Source organism: Homo sapiens, chromosome 10 (genome assembly GCF_000001405.40).
Source record: "Homo sapiens chromosome 10, GRCh38.p14 Primary Assembly".
Lineage (NCBI taxonomy): Eukaryota > Metazoa > Chordata > Mammalia > Primates > Hominidae > Homo > Homo sapiens.
In genome coordinates, this window is record NC_000010.11 from 15,867,294 (window position 1) to 15,886,771 (window position 19,478).

Below are 19,478 nucleotides of genomic sequence, written 5' to 3' on the forward strand. Positions count from 1 at the left end.
TGATTCATAGCCTGTCTCAGGTTCAATTCTGTACTTAGCATTTTTCTGGACTTCTATAGCACACCCTGCCCTTAATCCTTAAGACCTTTCTCTAGTACTGTTACTTTTGTGCATGTTTGTGACTCCCTCACAGCACTGATCAAATCCCCTCTGGATGAATTGAGACTCCAATAAAAACATATCAAATCCAGCAGCTTAACTTTTGCCAATATGGCAAAAATTCATGAGGGATACGTTCCAAAACCCCCAGTGGATGCCTGAAACTGCAGACAATACTTCATCCTAAAAATACTATGATTTTTCATATACATACATACGTATGATAAACCTTAACTTATAAATCAGGTATAGTAAGAGAAGAACAAAAATAACTAATAATAAAATAGAACAATTATAACGATCTACTGTAGTAAAAGTTATATAAATGTGGTCTCTTTCTTTCTCTCTCCCAAAATATCTTATTGTATTATATGCAACCTTCTTGACCATGGGTAACAAATTGGAAAGAGAGACTGTGGCTAAGGCAGGGGATTATGGTACAATATTGAACTCTTCTTCCATAGTCTGGAAGAAGAATGACAATTTCTTTTGGGGAAAGCTCAGAAACTGAATGGATTTGGATGCCCAGAAAAGAACGTCTGGCAGTTTTGAACTAAGTCAGTGATAGTAAAACAAAATTGATTCTATGAGTTGAAACTGCTTTTAATTTTATCCCAGTCTCTCTCCCAATTTTCTTGGTTCTCTTAGAAGCTGTCCAGATTTGCTTGGCTAAAAACTGATATTGGAATGTTGCATAGAAAACCCGGGTAGGAAAAGGCATATGATCATTAACAAACTCCCTGGTTCAATTCATGTCATGATCAGCAGCATGGCGTCTGTCCAGGCAGAAGGTCATGCTTGTTGAAGAATGAATGACGTCTGCCCCTGGGCATTGTGTTGAACATTCTGCGGCTTTGGGAAGCAGCCTTAGGCGGGATTGGAGCCTAGATGGACAGACAGAGGTCTTTTGCACCTTCAAAAGCAAACAACAGTAGAGCCCCCAAGGCTGCTTCTACATTCTTTGGTTTTTATTTTTGAAATGTGTTATTAAAAATGTCAAACATATGAAAAAATGGAGAGAAAGGTATAATAAACACCTGTCACACCTAGATTTAATAATTAAATCATTTGTTTCATCTATTTTTGGTAAATTTTAAAATAACTGATTACAGATGTGATAACAATTTTTCCCTAGTTATTCCAGAATGCGTCTCTGAAAATTAAAACATTCCCACACAACCACATTATCACATCCAAGAAAATTAATAATTTCCTAAAGTAATTTATTATCACTCTTTATCTGCATGTCTCCATTAAGTTTTACAACGCCTTTTAGAGCTAGTTTTGACAGGTCACGATTTGATCAATGACAACATATGGCATTTCTCTAAAGAATATTTTAACGTAGAACATTCCTCTTCCCCTGTTTTTTCATGACATTAATTTGTTGAAGAGATGGTATCAATTTTCCTTTAGAACGTTTGATTCTGATTGTTTCCTTGTCTGATTGTTTCCTTGTAGGAATGTTTGATTTGTACCTTGCTTAGGTTTTGGAATTTCGCGTAAATCGGAAGTTTAGATGGAAAGATTTGATTCGATTTAATTTGAGTACATTAATTAGATGGCAAAACACTTCTTTGCAAGAATATCTTAAGAATAATGTTATGTTTTTTCTTACTGCATCACACCAAAAGCTGGTCATCTAATTACTAGTGTTGCTAACATTGATTATTCATGTAAGGTGTCGCCCTGCAAGTAACCTGTGGGCTCTACCTTAGCTCTGTGTCATTTCAATTCTCTGTTAGCCTTTTATTTAATGGTTTAGCAGCCACTAAAAATTCTTGCTTGAATCAATTATTCCATTGAGAGTTGCAAAATAATCACCTTCTGTTTTTTGGTGGTTGTTTTTCTCACTCCTTGAGTTGGATGATTGGTTCATTATTTTTCAACCTTCCTACTGCATTCTAATATAACATTTAGTGCTATAAAATTACAATCTAAGTCTCATACAAATTTTGATATATACTACTTTTATAATTACCATTCATTTCAAATGTTTTATGATTCCCATTTTTTTCCTTAACCCATTTGTTATTTACAAGTAGATTTTAAACCTTCAGACGTCTCTTAGAGTTATCTGTTTATTATTGTTTTAATTTAATTATGTTTTGTTCAGAGGACAATTGTTTTTATAATCCTGATACTTTGGTATTTGGTGAAAGTTACTTTTAGGCTTAGTTTATGGTCAACTTTTTTAAAAATTTCATGCATAATTGAGAAGAATTATCAGCTCTCTGATTTTTTGGTAGAGGATTTTATGTATTACTAACAGTTTAAGAAATTAGTTAATTGTTTTATCCATCCACAGCCTTAAAAAATGTTTAAATCTAGTTAATCACTTAGGAGATTGTTAAATCTCCCACTGTTGAGGTGGATTTGTCAATACTTTTCTTGCTGTTGTATCGAGCACTGCTTTAGATATTGCTATATTATATATCTGATATTCACACATTTAGAGTTGTTATATCTATCTAACAAATAATTCATTTAATCTGTAAGATCATATTAGAAGAAAGGCAGTGTCCAATATTTACTTCACCTTTGTGTAATCTCTATAATTAGTCTTCATATGTGTTATGTTTTTATAGTCAAGGTTTGTTCAGGTTTACTGTCCTAGTTGTCACTTTCTTTGCTTACCTTTCTTTCTTTTTGGATTTTTTTTCCCATTTCATAAAGCATATAGTTTTTGAATTCTTGTAATGATAAATTTTATTGTCATTAAACATTGATTTGATTTGTAAAGAAGGTGCTTATTTTTGTCATTTTTGTCATTCTTTTTTTTTTTTTTTTTTTTTGGAGACAGTGACTCACTCTGTAGCCCAGGCTGGAGTGCAGTGGCACCACCTTGGCTAACAGGAGCCTTGTACTCCCAGGCTCAAATGATCCTCCCACCTCAACCTCCAGTGTAGCTGGAACTACAGGCACATACCACCATGCCTGGCTAATTTTTTGGAGGTCTGGGATTACAGGCGTGTACCCCCACCCCTGACCTGTTCTGTCATTATTCTTATGTGATAATTTAGGTGGGATAAAATTCCAAGGTCTAAATTCTTACTAGACATGTGACTTTGAGAATGTTGCTTTACCTAACTCTTCCTCAGTTTTTTCACCAGTGAAATGAAAATTAAGGGTATGCTCACCACCGGGCTTGCGCCTGTGGTCCTAGCTACTCAGGAGGCAAAGGTGGAGGGTGGATTTTATGTATTTTATTTTTATTTAACAGACATTTGCATGGCATTTACTATGAGCCAGCCCTGTTTAAGAGTTACAAATGTTAACTCATTTAACTAACATAAGGTAGGTACAGTTTTCTTTATTTTTAGGGATGAGACTTTGTCTCTATTATGATTATTAAATTGAAAATAAAATAAACTGTTTTTGGAAATATGCTGGTCTAGATAAATAACCAGTAAACACATTTAAAATTACTTGTATAACATGGCAAACATACTCTCAAAAACTTATACTTGCAAGAAAGTAACAGATATCCCCATAAGCAAAATCTGAAGAAGAACCCAGAAAATCAGAGAAATAAACCAAAGAACTCACTATTTCTCAGCTGTCCTGGAAGAAAGTGTATATGTTTCGTGGGGTGGGAGTTGGTTTCAAAGTTGTTTGGTTTTAAGGGCTAAAGCCAGAAGATAGTGAGTTGAACTTGTGTGATTTCACTAATTGAAACTGAGCCAGTCAAATTGCTGTACCATTAGTGAAAGTGTGGAATAGGAAAAAATAATCCTCATCTCTAATAAATTAAAAATAAAATACATGAAATAAATGAATATATTGTGAGTTGCTTTCTCGCATGCCTTAAAGATAGCTTTCTACAGTTGTCTGCCATGTATTGTTACTTTTGAAAGGTCGGTGGTTTATCTAATTGTCATTCCTTTTTAGGAAACCTGTCTTGTTTCTCTGTTTGCATTTGGGATTGCTTCCTCATCTTTAAGTTTCTGCTGTTCCACTGGATTATCTAGGTATTTCACTTCTATTTATCCTGCTTGGGAGTGTTATACATTGTTATTTGGGGAATTTGTGTCTTTCATCAGTTTGCAGAACATTTCAACCATTTCATTTTTAATATTTTCTCTCCATCATTTCATTTCTTGTTCATCTATGGAAATCTGAATAGACATACATTGGGCTTAGTTCTTCCATCTTCCATGGCTCAATTTCTCTTTCCCATTTTCCATTTCTTTCTCTCTGGAGCATTATATATCTGCAATAAAGTCTTCCATGTATTAATTCTCTGCTTAGCTCTGTCTTATCTGTTTTGTCCAACCTATTGGGTTTTTAATTTCAATAACATATTTTTATTTATACAAGTTCCATTTCATTGTTTCCCAGATTTGTCTGAACTTTTATGATAGTATTTACTAATTCACTTATAATAAAATATTTTCATTTTAGTTTTCTGATTTATGAGTTATGAACCCATGTTCAATGGAGGTTTTTTTTGTTTTTGTTTTTGTTTTTTGTTTTTTGTTTTTTTTTGCAAGAATCCTATCTGGTTATATGGTCTAAAGAGAGTACGTGTCCCCTAAAGGGTTTTGAATGTGGTTCATCCAGGTAATTCCAGTGATATTATGCATGATGCAACCACAGGCCAATTTTATGTTGCTTTCTCAGCTGAAACATTCCTGGACCACATAGAAAATGGACTGAAGAACTTGAGCCCATGCCAGGAACTCCATTATCAAAAATTCTCAGAACTGACATTTTACTTATCCATCTAGATCCCAGGTCAAGATTACAAGCATCCATGTTTTTTTCCTGGGCTGGCAGATATTTCTTTTTTCTATTCCACACTTGCACTAATGGTACAGCCATTTGAATGGCTCAGTTTCAACTGGTGACATCACTAGTCAAGTTCAAGTTATTATATTTTGTCTTGAGCCCTTCAAACCAAACAACTTTGAAACCAGTTGCCGCCACTCAAAATACATATTCTTTCCTCCAGGACAGCTGAAAAATATTAAGTTCGTTGGTTTGTTGCTCTTATTTTCTGGGTTCTTCCTCTGGTTTTTCCTATGGGGTATCCCTTACTTTCTTGCAAGTATAAGGTGGGTTTTTTTTGTTTTTGCATGAGTGTTTTTTATTTTATTTTTCATAATTTTTATTATATTTTAAGTTCTAGGGTACATGGGCACAACATGCAGGTTTGTTACATAGGTATACATACATGTGCCATGTTGGTTTGCTGCACCTATCAACTCGTCATTTACATCAGGTATTTCTCCTAATGCTATCCCTACCCCAGCACCCCACCCCCCGACAGGCCCGACAGGCCTGACAGGCCCTGGTGTGTGATGTTCCCTGCCCTGTGTCCATGTGTTCTCATTCATTGTTCAACTCCCAATTATGAGTGAGAACACGCAGTGTTTGGTTTTCTGTCCTTGTGATAGTTTGCTGAGAATGATGGTTTCCAGCTTCATCAATATCCCTGAAAAGGACATGAACTTTTGCATCCTTTTTTATGGCTGCATAGTATTCCATGGTGTATATGTGCCAAATTTACTTAATCCAGTCTATCATTGGTGGACATTTGGGTTGGTTCCAAGTCTTTGTTATTGTTAATAGTGCCGCAATAGACATATGTGTGCAAGTGTCTTTATGGTAGCATGATATATAATGCTTTGGGTATATGCCCAGTAATGGGATCGCTGGGTCAAATGGTATTTCTAGTTCTAGATCCTTAAGGAATTGCCACACTGTCTTCCATGATGGTTGAACTAATTTACACTCCCACCAACAGTGTAAAAGCGTTCCTATTTCTCCACATCCTCTCCAGCATCTCTTGTTTCCTGACTTTTTCATGATCGTCATTCTAACTGGCATGAGATAGTATCTCATTATGATTTTGATTTGCATTTCTCCGATGATCATTGATGATGAACATTTTTTCATAAGTCTGTTGGCTGCGTAAATGTCTTCTTTTGAGAAGTTTCTGTTCATATCCTTTGCCCACTTTTTAATGGGGTTGTTTGTTTTTTTTCTTGTAAATTTGTTTAAGTTCTCTGTAGATTCTGGATATTAGCCCTTTGTCAGTGGGGTAGATTGCAAAAATTTTCTCCCATTCTGTAGGTTTCCTGTTCACTCTGATGATAGTTTCTTTTGCTGGGCAGAAGCTCTAGTTTAATTAGATCCCATTTGTCTATTTTGGCTTTTGTTGCCATTGCTTTTGGTGTTTCAGTCATGAAGTCTTTGCCCATGCCTGTGTCCTGAATGGTATTGCCTAGGTTTTCTTCTAGGATTTTTATGGTTTTAGGTCTTAAATTTAAGTCTTTAATCCATCTAGAGTAATTTCTGTGTAAGGTGTAAGGAAGGGATCCAGTTTTAGCTTTCTACATATGGCTAGCCAGTTTTTCCAGCACTATTTATTAAATAGGGAATCCTTTCCCCGTTGCTTGTTTTTGTCAGGTTTGTCAAAAATCAGATGGTGGTAGATGTGTGATGTTACTTCTGAGGTCTCTGTTCTGTTCCATTGGTCTATATCTCTGTTTTCGTACCAGTACCATGCTGTTTTGTTTACTGTAGCCTTGTAGCATAGTTTGAAGTGAGGTAGCACGATTCCTCCAGCTTTGTTCTTTTTGCTTAGGATTGTCTTGGCTATGCGGGCTCTTTTTTGGTTCCATATGAACTTTAAAGTAGTTTTTTCAATTCTGTGAAGAAAGTCAGTGGTAGCTTGATGGGGATGGCATTGAATCTATAAATTACCTTGGGCAGTATGGCCATTTTCATGATATTGATTCTTCCTATCCATGAGCATGGAATGTTCTTCCATTTGTTTGTGTCCTCTTTTATTTCGATGAGCAGTGGTTTGTAGTTCTCCTTGAAGAGGTCCTTCACATCCCTTGTAAATTGGATTCCTAGGTATTTTATTCTCTTTGTAGTAATTGTGAATGGGAGTTCACTCATGATTTGGCTCTCTGTCTGTTATTGGTGTATAGGAATGCTTGTGATTTTTGCACATTGATTTTTGTATCCTGAGGCTTTCCTGAAGTTGCTTATCAGCTTAAGGAGATTGTGGGCTAAGACGATGGGGTTTTCTAATTATACAATCATGTTATCTGCAAACAGAGACAATTTAACTTCCTCTTTTCCTAATTGAAAATCCTTTATTTCTTTCTCTTGGCTGACTACCCTGGCCAGAACTTCCAACACTATGTTGAATAGGAGTGGTGAGAGAGGGCATCCCTGTCTTGTGCCAGTTTTCAAAGGGAATGCTTCCTGTTTTTGCCCATTCAGTATGATATTGGCTGCCGGTTTGTCATAATTAGCTCTTATTATTTTGAGATACATTCCATCAATATGTAGTTTATTGAGAGTTTTTAGCATGAAGAGCTGTTGAATTGTGTCAAAGGCCTTTTCTGCATCTATCGAGATAATCATGTGGTTTTTGTGATTGGTTCTGTTTATGTGATGGATTACATTTATTGATTTGCATATGTTGAACCAGCCTTGCATCCCAGGGATGAAGCCCACTTGATCATGGTGGATAAGGTTTTTGATGTGCTGCTGGATTCGGTTTGCCAGTATTTTATTGAGGATTTTTGCATCAATGTTCATCAGAGATATTGCCCTAAAATTCTCTCTTTTTTTGTTGTGTCGCTGCCAGGCTTTGGTATCGGGATGATGCTGGCCTCATAAAATGAGTTAGGGAGGATTCCCTCTTTTTCTATTGATTGGAATAGTTGCAGAAGGAATGGTACCAGCTCCTCTTTGTACCTTTGGTAGATTTCGGCTGTGAATCCATCTGGTCCTGGACTTTTTTAGGTTGGTAGGCTATTATTGCCTCCATTTCAGAATCTGTTACTGGTCTATTCATAGATTCAAATTCTTCCTGGTTTAGTCTTGGCAGGGTGTATGTGTCCAGGAGCTTATCTATTTCTTCTAGATTTTCTAGTTTATTTGTGTAGAGGTGTTTATACTATTCTCTGAAGGTAGTTTGTATTTCTGTGGGATCAGTGGTGATATCCCTTTTATCATTTTTTATTGCATCTATTTGATTCTTCTCTCATTTCTTCTTTATTAGTCTTGCTACCAATCTGTCTATTTTGTAGATCTTTTCAAAAAACCAGCTGCTGGATTCAATGATTTTTTGAAGGGTTTTTTGTGTCTCTATCTCCTTCAGTTCTGCTCTGATCTTAGTTATTTCTTGCCTTCTGCTAGCTTTTGAATTTGTTTGCTCTTGCTTCTCTAGTTCTTTTCATTGTGATGTTAGAGTGTCAATTTTAGATCTTTCCTGCTTTCTCTTGTGGGCATTTAGTGCTATAAATTTCCCTCTACACACTGCTTTAAATGTATCGCAGAGATTCTGGTACATTGTGTCTTTGTTCTCATTGGTTTCAAAGACCATCTTTATTTCTGCCTTCATTTCGTTATGTACCCAGTAGTCATTCAGGAGCAGGTTATTCAGTTTCCACGTAGCTGTACGGTTTTGAGTGACTTTCTTAATCCTGACTTCTAATTTGATTGCACTGTGGTCTGAGAGATAGTTTGTTGTGATTTCTGTTCTTTTGCATTTGCTGGGGAGTGTTTTACTTCCAATTATGTGGTTAATTTTAGAATAAGTGTGATGTGGTGCTGAGCAGAATGTATATTCTGTTGATTTGGGGTGGAGAGTTCTGTAGATGTCTATTAGGTCTGCTTGGTCCAGAGCTGAGTTCAAGTCCTGGATATCCTTGTTAACCTTCTGTCTTGTTAATCTGTCTAATATTGACAGTGGAGTGTTAAAGTCTCCCATTATTATTGTGTGGGAGTCTAAGTCTCTTTGTAGGTCTCTAAGGTCTCTTTTTATGAATCTGGGTGCTCCTATATTGGGTGCATATAGATTTAGGATAGTCAGCTCTTCTTGTTGAATTGATCCCTTTACTATCACATAATGGCCTTCTTTGTCTCTTTTGATCCTTGTTGGTTTAAAGTCTGTTTTATCAGAGACTAGGATTACAACCCCTGCTTTTTTCACTTTCCATTTTCTTGATAGATCTTCCTCCATCCCTTTATTTGGAGCCTACATGTGTATTTGCACACGAGATGGGTCTCCTGAATACAGCACACTGATGGTTCTTGACTCTTTATCCGATTTGCCAGTCTGTGTCTTTTAATTGGGGCATTTAGCCCATTTACATTTAAGATTAATATTGTTATGTGTGAATTTGATCCTGTCATTATGATCTTAGAAGGTTATTTTGCCCATTAATTGATGCAGTTTCTTCATAGTGTCGATGGTCTTTACAATTTGGCATGTTTTTGCAGTGGCTGATACTGGTTGTTCCTTTTCACGTTTAGTGCTTCCTTCAGGAGCTCTTGTAAGGCAGGCCTGGTGGTGACAAAATCTCTCCTCATTTGCTAGTCTGTAAAGGATTTTATTTCTCCTTCACTTATGAAGCTTAATTTGGCTGGATATGAAATTCTGTGTTGAAAATTCTTTTCTTTAAGAATGTTGAATATTGACCCCCACTCTCTTCTGCCTTGTAGGGTTTCTGCTGAGAGATCTGCTGTTAGTCTGATGGGCTTCCCTTTGTGGGTAACCTGACCTTTCTCTCTGGCTGCCCTTAACATTTTTTCCTTCATTTCAACCTTGGTGAATCTGACAATTGTGTCTTGGGGTGGCTCTTCTCAAGGAGTATCTTTGTGGGGTTCTCTGTGTTTCCTGAATTTGTATATTGGCCTGCTTTGCTAATTTGGGGAAGTTTTCCTGGGTAATATCCTTTAGAGTGTTTTCTAACTTGGATCCATTCTCCCCGTCACTTGCAGGAACACCAGTCAAATGTAGATTTGGTCTTTTCACATAGTCCCATGTTTCTTGGAGGCTTTGTTTGTTTCTTTTCACTCTTTTTTCTCTAATCTTGTCTTCTCACTTTATTTCATTAATTTGATCTTCCTTCAGTGATATCCTTTCTTCCACTTGATCAAATCAGCTACTGAAGCTTTTGCATATGTCACGAAGTTCTCATGCCGTGTTTTTCAGCTCCATCAGGTCATTTAAGGTCTTCTCTACACTGTTTATTCTAGTTAGCCATTCATCTAACCTTTTTTCAAGGTTTTTAGCTTCTTTGCAATGGCTTAGAACATGCTTCTTTAGCTCAGAGAAGTTTGTTATTACCAACCTTCTGAAGCCTACTTCTGTCAACTCGTTAAACTCATTCTCTGTCCAGTTTTGTTCCTTTGATGGTGAGGAGCTGCAATCCTTTGGAGGAGGCACTCTGGTTTTTGGAATTTTCAGCTTTTCTGCTCCGCTTTCTCCCCATCTTGGTGGTTTTATCTACCTTTGGTCTTTGATGTTGGTGACCTACAGATGGGGTTTTGGTGTGGATGTGGTTTTTATGGATGATGATACTATTCCTTTCTGTTTGTTAGTTTTCCTTCTAACAGTCAGGCCCCTCAGCTGCAGGTCTGTTGGAGTTTGCTGGAGGTCCACTCCAGACCCCGTTTGCCTGGGTATCACCAGCGGAGGCTGCAGAACAGCAAATATTGCTGCCTGATGTTTCCTCTAGAAGCTTCATCCCAGAGGGGCACCCTCCTGTAGGAGGTGTCTGTCAGCCCCTACTGGGAGGTGTCTCCCAGTCAGGCTACATGGGGGGTCAGGGACCCACTTGAGGAGCCAGTCTGTCCGTTCTCAGAGCTCAAACACGGTGCTGGGAGAACCACTGCTGTCTTCAGAGCTGTCAGACAGGACATTTAGGTCTGCCAAAGCTGTCTGCTGCCTTTTGTTCTGATATGCCCTGCCCACAGAGGTGGAATCTACAGCAAGGTAGTAGGCCTTGCAGAGCTGCGGTGGGCTCCATCCAGTTCGAGCTTCCTGGCCTCCTTGTTTACACTGTGAGCACAAAACCGCCTACTCAAGCCTCAGCAATGGCGGATGCCCCTCCCCCCACCAAGCTGCAGCGTTGCAGGTCGATCTCAGACTGCTGCGCTAGCAGTGAACCAGACTCTGTGGCCCTGGGACCTGCTGAGCCACGCACGGGAGGGAATTTCCTGGTCTGCCAGTTGCAAAGACTGTGGGAAAAGCATAGTATTTGGGCAGGAGTGTACCATTCCTCCAGGTACAGACCGTTACAGCTTCCCTTGTCTAGGAAAGGGAAATCCCCTGACCCCTTGAACTCCCTGGGTGAGGTAACACCCCGCCCTGCTTCAGCTCCCCCTCCATGGGCTGCACCCACTGTCCAACCTGTCCCTGTGAGATGAACCAAGTACCTCAGTTGGAAATGCAGAAATCACCTATCTTCTGCGTCGATCTTGCTGGGAACTGCAGACCGGAGCTGTTCCTATTCAGCCGTCTTGGAAGCCTCTGACACAGTTTTTTTTCTTTTTTTTTTTTTTTGAGAGTATGTTTGCTATGTTATAAGAGTAACTTTTAAATGTGTTTACTGGTTATTTATCCAGTCCAGCGTGTTTCCAAAAAGTGAGTTTAGTTTTCCCAAAATGTGTTCTGCAGAACACTCATATTCAATCCAGTGTAACTATGTGTTGGAAGAAAAAACTTAATGTTAGAAAAACTTTTTCTCTAAAACTTACATTTAAATATATGTAAGAAAACTAATCTTAATTATACATTTTCTTATGTTCATGCAATGATTAGCACTTAAGGAAATGCTGTGCCATTCTACAGAATGCCAGAATGTCAAAGTAGCAATTGATATAACCACATCAAATGTGAGTTAGCCATCTCACTGATATATTATCTGTTCAATGGTCAATGACCTATGTTCTATCCCTTGATTTAAAATTCCAGTAAACATTTGATATTGTGTTGCAGTCTTAGGATTCAATTCTGCCATTCCATCAACAGGTGGTGCCATTGTATTATAATTTGAATGTTGTGAAAGAAAAATATTTTGTCGTTACTTGCACTGATAAGCATCTCAGCTTTTTTAGAGCTGCTTTTGCACCCTGAGAAACTTTGACTTTAGGGTTTTAAAAAATGTTATATGGTTAAAGTTATATTGCAGAGCAAAACTGCCTGAATTCTTCTCATGTATATTAAGTCTAGAAATTGCACACTATATGTCTGCTATTTTGTCTACAAAGTCATGAAAAACCGAAAATAATATTCATAATAGGTAGTTATAGATTCTGATATATAGAGAATATCTGCTTTAATATTTTTGTTCCTGAAAATTCTCATCTTATTTTCATTTTATAAATTTAAAAAACTACTGGGTATTAGTAAAAAAAAAATTCACGTTTTTTGCAATACCAAGGAAAGCAAGTCAAGATTTGTGTTTTTTTCTTTACATATACCATTAAATATAACATGGGACATGGGTCACAGCTCTGCCAAAAGATCTCTTTGTAGCTATGTGTTGCCAGAAACAACACTGTGGAGATCCCTTTCGAGTTGTGGCAAGTCATGTGGACAGCTTGAGATGGGTAACCTCATATGCCCTGTCATAAAGAGAAGAAAGAAAGGATGACATCAGACTCTACCCCATTCTTTGTTCTGCCTGCAATTCACTGTTGTAAACTGGCAAAGCTTTTTCCTCAAGGGTAGTTGTCAAAGTCACAGCATGATCACAGGAGGTGGTAATAGGAAGTTGGCATGAGCCACTGACAGAGAAATTAGTTTGAGACTTCTTGTGATTCTCCTCAGGGATTTCAGCAACAGCCAGCTCTTCTAAGCTAATTAGTCCTACATTGTTGTAATGGATGATCAGAAAAAACAGTAATTGAAAATGATACAGTTCTTTAGTAATGCTAAAACTGTAAACAACAGAAATATCAAGAAATGAAACAAACATTTAGAACCATTTGGATAAATTGGATGAATAGGTTAGCAGATGAAAAATTCAGTTTCAAAGTAGACAAAATAAGATTTATTTGGGAGCAGACATCCAAGTTAGGGGCTATATATTAAATGATGCAATTATCAATACACTGAACATATTCTTTCTTTTATTAATAGACTGGGAAATATTCTTAAAATCATTTTCCTTTGGTTTAAGTTTGAATGTGTAGTTTTCATTTACACAGCATATATCTGTGGTTCACAGACACATTCTGAAATTTATTCTTGAGTTTATTCTCATTCATTCTTATTATGCAACTCTGTCACAATCCCCATTTCACAATTAAGATACATTTTCAAAAGTTACTCTGAAAGTAAGAGTTGGAGCCCAGACTTAAAAGCTGGATCTCTCTAAATTATGTTCTCTTTTTTATTCCACAATGGAGACTGAACAGATGAAATTTTAACTCTAACTATAGTTGCTCTGTTGTAGAGTAAGTGAATAAGTTTAGAGGACAAATACAGTGTATAGAATAGTACAAATGTTACTTTTATTTGTTTATTCCTTTTAGACATGGGAGTCTTACTAGGTTGCCCACGCTGAAGTGCAGTGGCTATCCACAGGCGTGATCATGCCGCACTACAGCCTTGAATTGCTGGGCTCGTGATCCTCATGCTTCAGCCTCCTGAGAAGCTGGGACTATAGGCACATGCCACTGCATCTGGCTACAAATATATGTATTTGTATTTGTACATATATATTTGTAAAATATATATATTTATATTTGTACAAATATATGTTTGCATATATATTTTAATATATATAATAAAAATATATATATATTTTGAGACAGAGTCTCGCTCTGTCACCAGGCTGCAGTGCAGTGGCACGATCTCAGCTCACTGCAACCTCTACCTCCCAGATTCAAGTGATTCTCCTGCCTCAGCCTCCCGAGTAGCTAGGACTACAGGCATGCACCACCATGCCCAGCTAATTTTTGTATTTTTAGTAGAGACGGGGTTTCACCATGTTGGCCAGGATGGTCTTGATCTCTTGACCTCGTTATCCGCCTACCTCAGGCTCCCAAAGTGCTGGGATTACAGGCGTGAGCCACCGCCCCCCGCCAAGTGTTGTTTTTATTAAATTGTGATAATAGATATTTTCCCCCTATCCTTTCCATGAATTGTGTTGCCATATGGTTCTATCTTCAATAAGGTTTAAATTGTGCATGCAGGACCTCTTTGACTTTCAGATCTGGCATTTTTTTTTTTCTAATTGGGGTAGTAAGTGAAGAGCGGAAAATATACTTTTGCCTGGCACAAAAGAGAATGAGGGCAGATCCAAGACTTATTTTGTTATTATTCAATTCCCATCTGCCATTACACTCTCTTAAAGTTTGTTTGCAGTTTCTTATCCATTCTGTGAGAGATAACAGAGTACACTTTTGCCCTTTTTCCTTTATGTCAGGGAAGTGAACAGTGATTTTTTTAATGAGGATGAACTTTTAATTTTGAGACTTTATATTTCTTGATAGCAGTAAGCATGCTTTTTATTCGTTAAAAATTATAGCTCTTAATTGTTTTTACAGAAATTTTATGCAAAGTGGTCATATATTATATTGCATCATATTCTTTAACTTAGAACTGATAAAAATGAGAGTTTGATTTATCCTTGTTGAAGTTCCTAGAAAACAGACTTGGAGCTGCAAGAACACAACACACTTCCCCTGGAAAATACTCAAAGAAGTAAATCTCTGGACATTGTTTACAGCCCTAGTAGGATACAAGAAGAAATGTTCCTTATTTAGAAAAAGAATCATAAAGCTAGGAAATATTAGCTAAAATGTCAATAAGTAGGGAAGAAAAGAGAGAGGGATGGTAGAAAAATGCAGATCTCCATAAATGTGGCTGTGATAGCTTGGGCTGCCATGGAAAATACCACTGAAGGAGTGGCTTAAACAACAGACCTTCATTTTCTCACAGTTATAGAAGCTGGAAGTCCAAGGTTAAGGTGTAATCAGGGTTCGTTTTTGTGAGGCCTCTCTTCTTAGCTAATAGGCGGCTGCCTTCTCTCTGTGTGGTCACACAGCCTTTCCTCTGTGCAAGCTTGGAGAGCACACTCGCTCTCCCTTCTTCTTCTTGGAATGTCACCAGTTCTATGGGAGGTCCCATTCTTATGACTACTTAACCTTCATTACCCCCTTAAAGGCACTATCTGTAAATATAGTCACACTGGGGAGTTAGAGCCTCATCATATGCATTTGGGGGGTGACACAGCTCTGCCCACGACAATGACCTTAACACTAGGATAGTTGTTTTGCAGAATGTCACTCGATCTGAGTTTGTTTCATGTTTCCTCATGAGGAGATCTAGGTTATGGATTCTGGGTGGGAGTCTCTCACAGGGGATATTGTGCTCTCACTGCATTCTCTCATGTGATTTTAATTTGTCCAATGGTGTTTACTTTGATCACCTGAGTGACAAAAGTGGTGACTCTCAAGACTTCTCTATTATAAAGTTTCTTGATGTGTTGCTAAATAACAGTTAGTAAGCATGGTTTTAGCTTGGAAAAACTGATACACCTCTTAACAGAAGTAGAGATGCCAGAAAATCCATGAGAGATTGTGGAGAAAGGGGTGTTCAAGGACTTGAAAATGCTATAATGAGTCTACTGTACCTAACCAGAAAACCCACCAGCTGACTGTCCTCAGGAGGGTCTAGAAAATACTACATTTGCCCAATTGATAAGAAATGCCCTGGTGAGGTGAAGGGGCACCAGCATTTTGAGAACCTCAGGAAAGTCTGTCTTCTGTAGGTTGGGGCTGAAGGTAGCTGATGGTGTTGCAGAACCGAGCATTTTAGTAGCAACGAGGGTACTAGATCCCAGGAAAGCAGAGGCCAGGAGGCAGCCTTTAAGAATCAGAAGAAAGATGAACATAATTACTATAACAGGTAGCAAGACTGGAATTTCATTCAGGGGAAACTGATCTGCAGGGAACTTGGGAGATGACATGGTTCTCCTAAGGGCAAGAGTGCTGAGCCGTTGTCACAGGTTGGGTTTTCTAGAAAGAGGCTGGTGTTTAGGAAGCAGGTTGTTCACTCAGGTATGTCCTTGGGATTGAAACTCATGAAACTGAGGGAAAGAAAGTGGCATTAAGCCGAGGGAAATGAACTTCATACAAGCCTGGCTGACCCGCAGGGTAAGCTGTGAAACTCACATAGTTTTTTAGCAGTGTTCCAAGTTGGGTTGGGATGGCCAGGCCTTATTGTCCCACACTGATCAATGAATAGATGTTGGCCACCTTGGGAAGGGGCAGGTATTAGTCAGGATTCTGCAGAGGAACAGAACTAATGGGACAGACATCTGAATCTCCATCTCGCTCCAGAGATTTATTATAAGGTATAGGCTCATATGACTGTAGAGGCTTATGGAGGCTGATTCTGGAGGCGGATGTGATTCTACCACCTGCAAGCTGGAGATCCAGGAAAGCTGGTTCTCTAGATTCCACTCCAAGACTGAAGGCCTGAGAAGCAGGAGTGCTGAGTGCAGGGGAAGATCAATGTCCAGGCTCCAGCAATCAGATAAGGAGGGAATTCAAACTTTCTTCCCTTTTTTTGTTTTATTCAGGTCCTCGATGGATTGGATGATGCCCATTCACATTGGGGAGGGCATCTTTTTTACTCAGTCTACTTTGTCAAATGCTAATCCCTTTTAGAAACATCCTCCTAGACATACCTAGAAAGGATGTGTCACCAGATATCTGGGCATCTCCTGGCCCAGGCAGGTTGAACCATAAAATGAACCATCATGGGGTATAATGTTGGGTAAGGCAGCTCTCTGCCACTGACAGATCCCAAAAGGTTCGTCAACTGAAGCATATCTGACAATAACATCCCTAAAAACTGGAGCCATGAGCCCTTAATTTACTGGGGACCTGGGTGATGTATTAGAGTGTTCACTACAGTCTACCTCTTGTGTCTACTTTGTCACATGCTTTCTAGGAACTGCTCTTCCAGCTGGTGTGTCTGTGGGATACCAGGAAGAGGAAGGTTAGTGGGACCAACTGCAGAGCTCACTGTTGAATATATATTTCTAGTGTGCACAGGCTAAGTCTTGCAGATCCTTTTGAAGTATAGTTTCCTTTCTTTCCTTATCAGGCCCAGCACATTCTTGACTGGCTTAAGTTAGGACTTCACCTGGCTTATAGGCCTAGAGAGGCCAGGAAAGGACTTAAAAGCAGATCTCAGGTGGGGCACATTTCAACTTGCAAGGGAAAGATTTCTAGCATTGTCTTCAGGCAAGGTGGAGCATGCTAGCTTTTAACACAAAGAATGGGCATTTGTGCAGGCTCCAAGGAGTCAAAGACATCTAGGAATTCAAGATTTGGGGAGAGCATCAAACCAGATACCCCCTTCCTGTGTGTCAGGACTCTCTCCCACTCTCTCTCCCTGTCTCTCTCTCCTTTTTTCTTTCCCTTCCCTTCCTTTTCTTTTTTCTTTTCTTTTTCTTTCTTTCTTTCCCTCTCTCTCTCCCTTTCTGACTTTCTTCCTTTCCTCCCCTCCCTCCCTTCTTCTCGTCCTCCCTCCCTCCCTTCCTCCCTTCCTTCCTCCCTTCCTCCATTCCTCCCTTCCTCCCTTCCTCCCTTCCTTTTTTTTTTTTTTTTTTTTGAGATGGAGTCTTGCTCTTGTCACTGAGGCTGTAGTGCAGTGGCACGATCCCGGCTCACTGCAACCTCCACTTCCCGGGTTCAAGCGATTCTCCTGCTTCAGCCACCTGAGTAGCTGGGATTACAGGCATGGGCCATCATATACAGCTAATTTTTGTATTTTTGGTAGGAAAACGGTTTCCCCATATTGGCCTGGCTGGTCTCAAACTCCTGGGCTCAAGTGATCTGCCTGCCTCAGCCTCCCAAAGCGCTGGGATTACAGGCATGAGCCACAGTGCCTGGCCAGGATCTATTCTTTCTAAACCAAACCCTGACCTCAGAATAGTGGATCTGTCTTTGATTTTAGTTTAACTCTCCCTGGAGCTCAGTCACCTCCACAATTCATACCTGGACATGGCCCTCAGTTCTCACTGCCCTCCCAATGAGAGGTATATGACAAAGAACACCATCTGGCTTTCAGACATAGTTTTCCATTAATAAGTCTCAGATTTTTGTTACTTATTTCCAGAGTTTAACACAGTTGAACCCTACTCATCCAATTTTCTTGACCTTGTAGCTGTGATTCCCTCCATCTTTCTCAAATCTCTGATATACCAGCTAGTGCACCCCTGTACTACTGATCTGCCATCCCGGTTTACCACCAGCGAAAGTTTCTGGGAGCACCTGTGTTCTGCCTAACCCTACGGATGTGGTCCTTACTGCAGCCAGTGGCAGGTGCTATCTTCAAAACCCCATCTTATCTCCTGCTTTCACAGAATACTTCTGGGATCAACTGTCGCAGGCTCTAGGGCAGAATTTAGGGTGCACTTGGAGTCAATACCTGTGGAAGGCAGGTTATGGAAGCAGGATTGGGCGGAGGGAAATCCAGCTCTGTGGCAGACCCAACACCAGTCTTGGCTGACTGCAGGGGAGCCCTGGAGCTGAAATGGCCCTTTAGTATTATCTTGAGTTGAGTGGGGATGCTAGCCCGTTATATTCCTGCACCAAGCAGTCACTGGATGTGGGCCATTCTGGGAAGGAGCATGACCTTAGCTGACAGTGTCTCCACAGCTGGATGATACGTAAGGATGCTGGCAGTTCAAAGGTGTCTTCAGAGAGCATCCCAGCATCTGGGACCTCAAGCCTTTCATAGAAGGGACATCTGAGTGGTGCATCACAGTGTCCAAAGAAGCTGTCAATAAAGGCCTTGCTTGCTGTATGCAGTCAAAAGACATAAAGAGTGGATGAACGGGCCGGGTGTGGTGGCTCACGCCTGTAATCCCAGCACTTTGAGAGGCTGAGGTGGGTGGATCATTAGGTCAAGAGATCGAGACCATCCTGGCCAACATGGTGAAACCCCATCTGTACTAAAAATACAAAAATTAGCTGGGCATGGTGGCACGCACCTGGAATCCCAGCTACTTGGGAGGCTGAGGCAGGAGAATCACTGGAACTCAGAAAGTGGAGGTTGCAGTGAGCTGAGATCATGCCACTGCACTCCAGCAGGGGCGACAGAGTGAGACTCCATCTCAAAAAAAAAAAAAAAGCATGGATGAGCAGAGGCTGAGGTGGGTGCTTCAACAGAAAATGATGAGATCCTCTGGTAGTTTGTAAGTGTGATGATTGAGTATTCACATGCATGCATGTGTGAGATGTGTCACTCCCAAACCTTATTGCAACATGGGCACATTACCCATCTCACATGGAAAAAGCAAACAGGTCAGGTACAGTGGCTCATGTGTGTAAACCCAGCACTTTGGGAAACCAAGGCACGAGGATTGCTTGAGGCCAGGAGTTCGAGCCCACCCTAGGAAACACAGTGATACCCTGTCTCTACTAAAAACAAAAAAAATTAGCCAGGCACGGTGGTAAATGTCTGTAGCCCCAGCTACTCGGGAGGCTGAGGCAGGAGGATTGCTTGAGTCCAGGAGTTCAAGGCTGCAGTGAGCTATGATGGCACCACTGCACTCCAGCCTGGGTGACAGAGAAAGATCCTGTATCAAAAAAAA

The 19,478-nt window shown here is 39.7% G+C and overlaps 1 non-coding gene across 1 annotated transcript, besides 1 other annotated feature; it reads left to right on the forward strand.

The window, feature by feature from the left end:
• Positions 10,837-11,131: an enhancer, noted in NCBI's record as "tiled region #8556; HepG2 Activating non-DNase unmatched - State 4:PromP". NCBI's record gives its function as "activates a minimal TATA promoter and a strong SV40 promoter by Sharpr-MPRA in HepG2 cells {active_cell/tissue: HepG2}" and the evidence as "EXISTENCE:reporter gene assay evidence [ECO:0000049][PMID:27701403]".
• LOC124902582 (small nucleolar RNA U13) lies at positions 19,065-19,172 on the forward strand. The gene has a single exon (XR_007062415.1). It is a non-coding gene; the product is annotated as a small nucleolar RNA U13 (small nucleolar RNA).
• Positions 19,173-19,478: the final 306 nt, after the last annotated feature.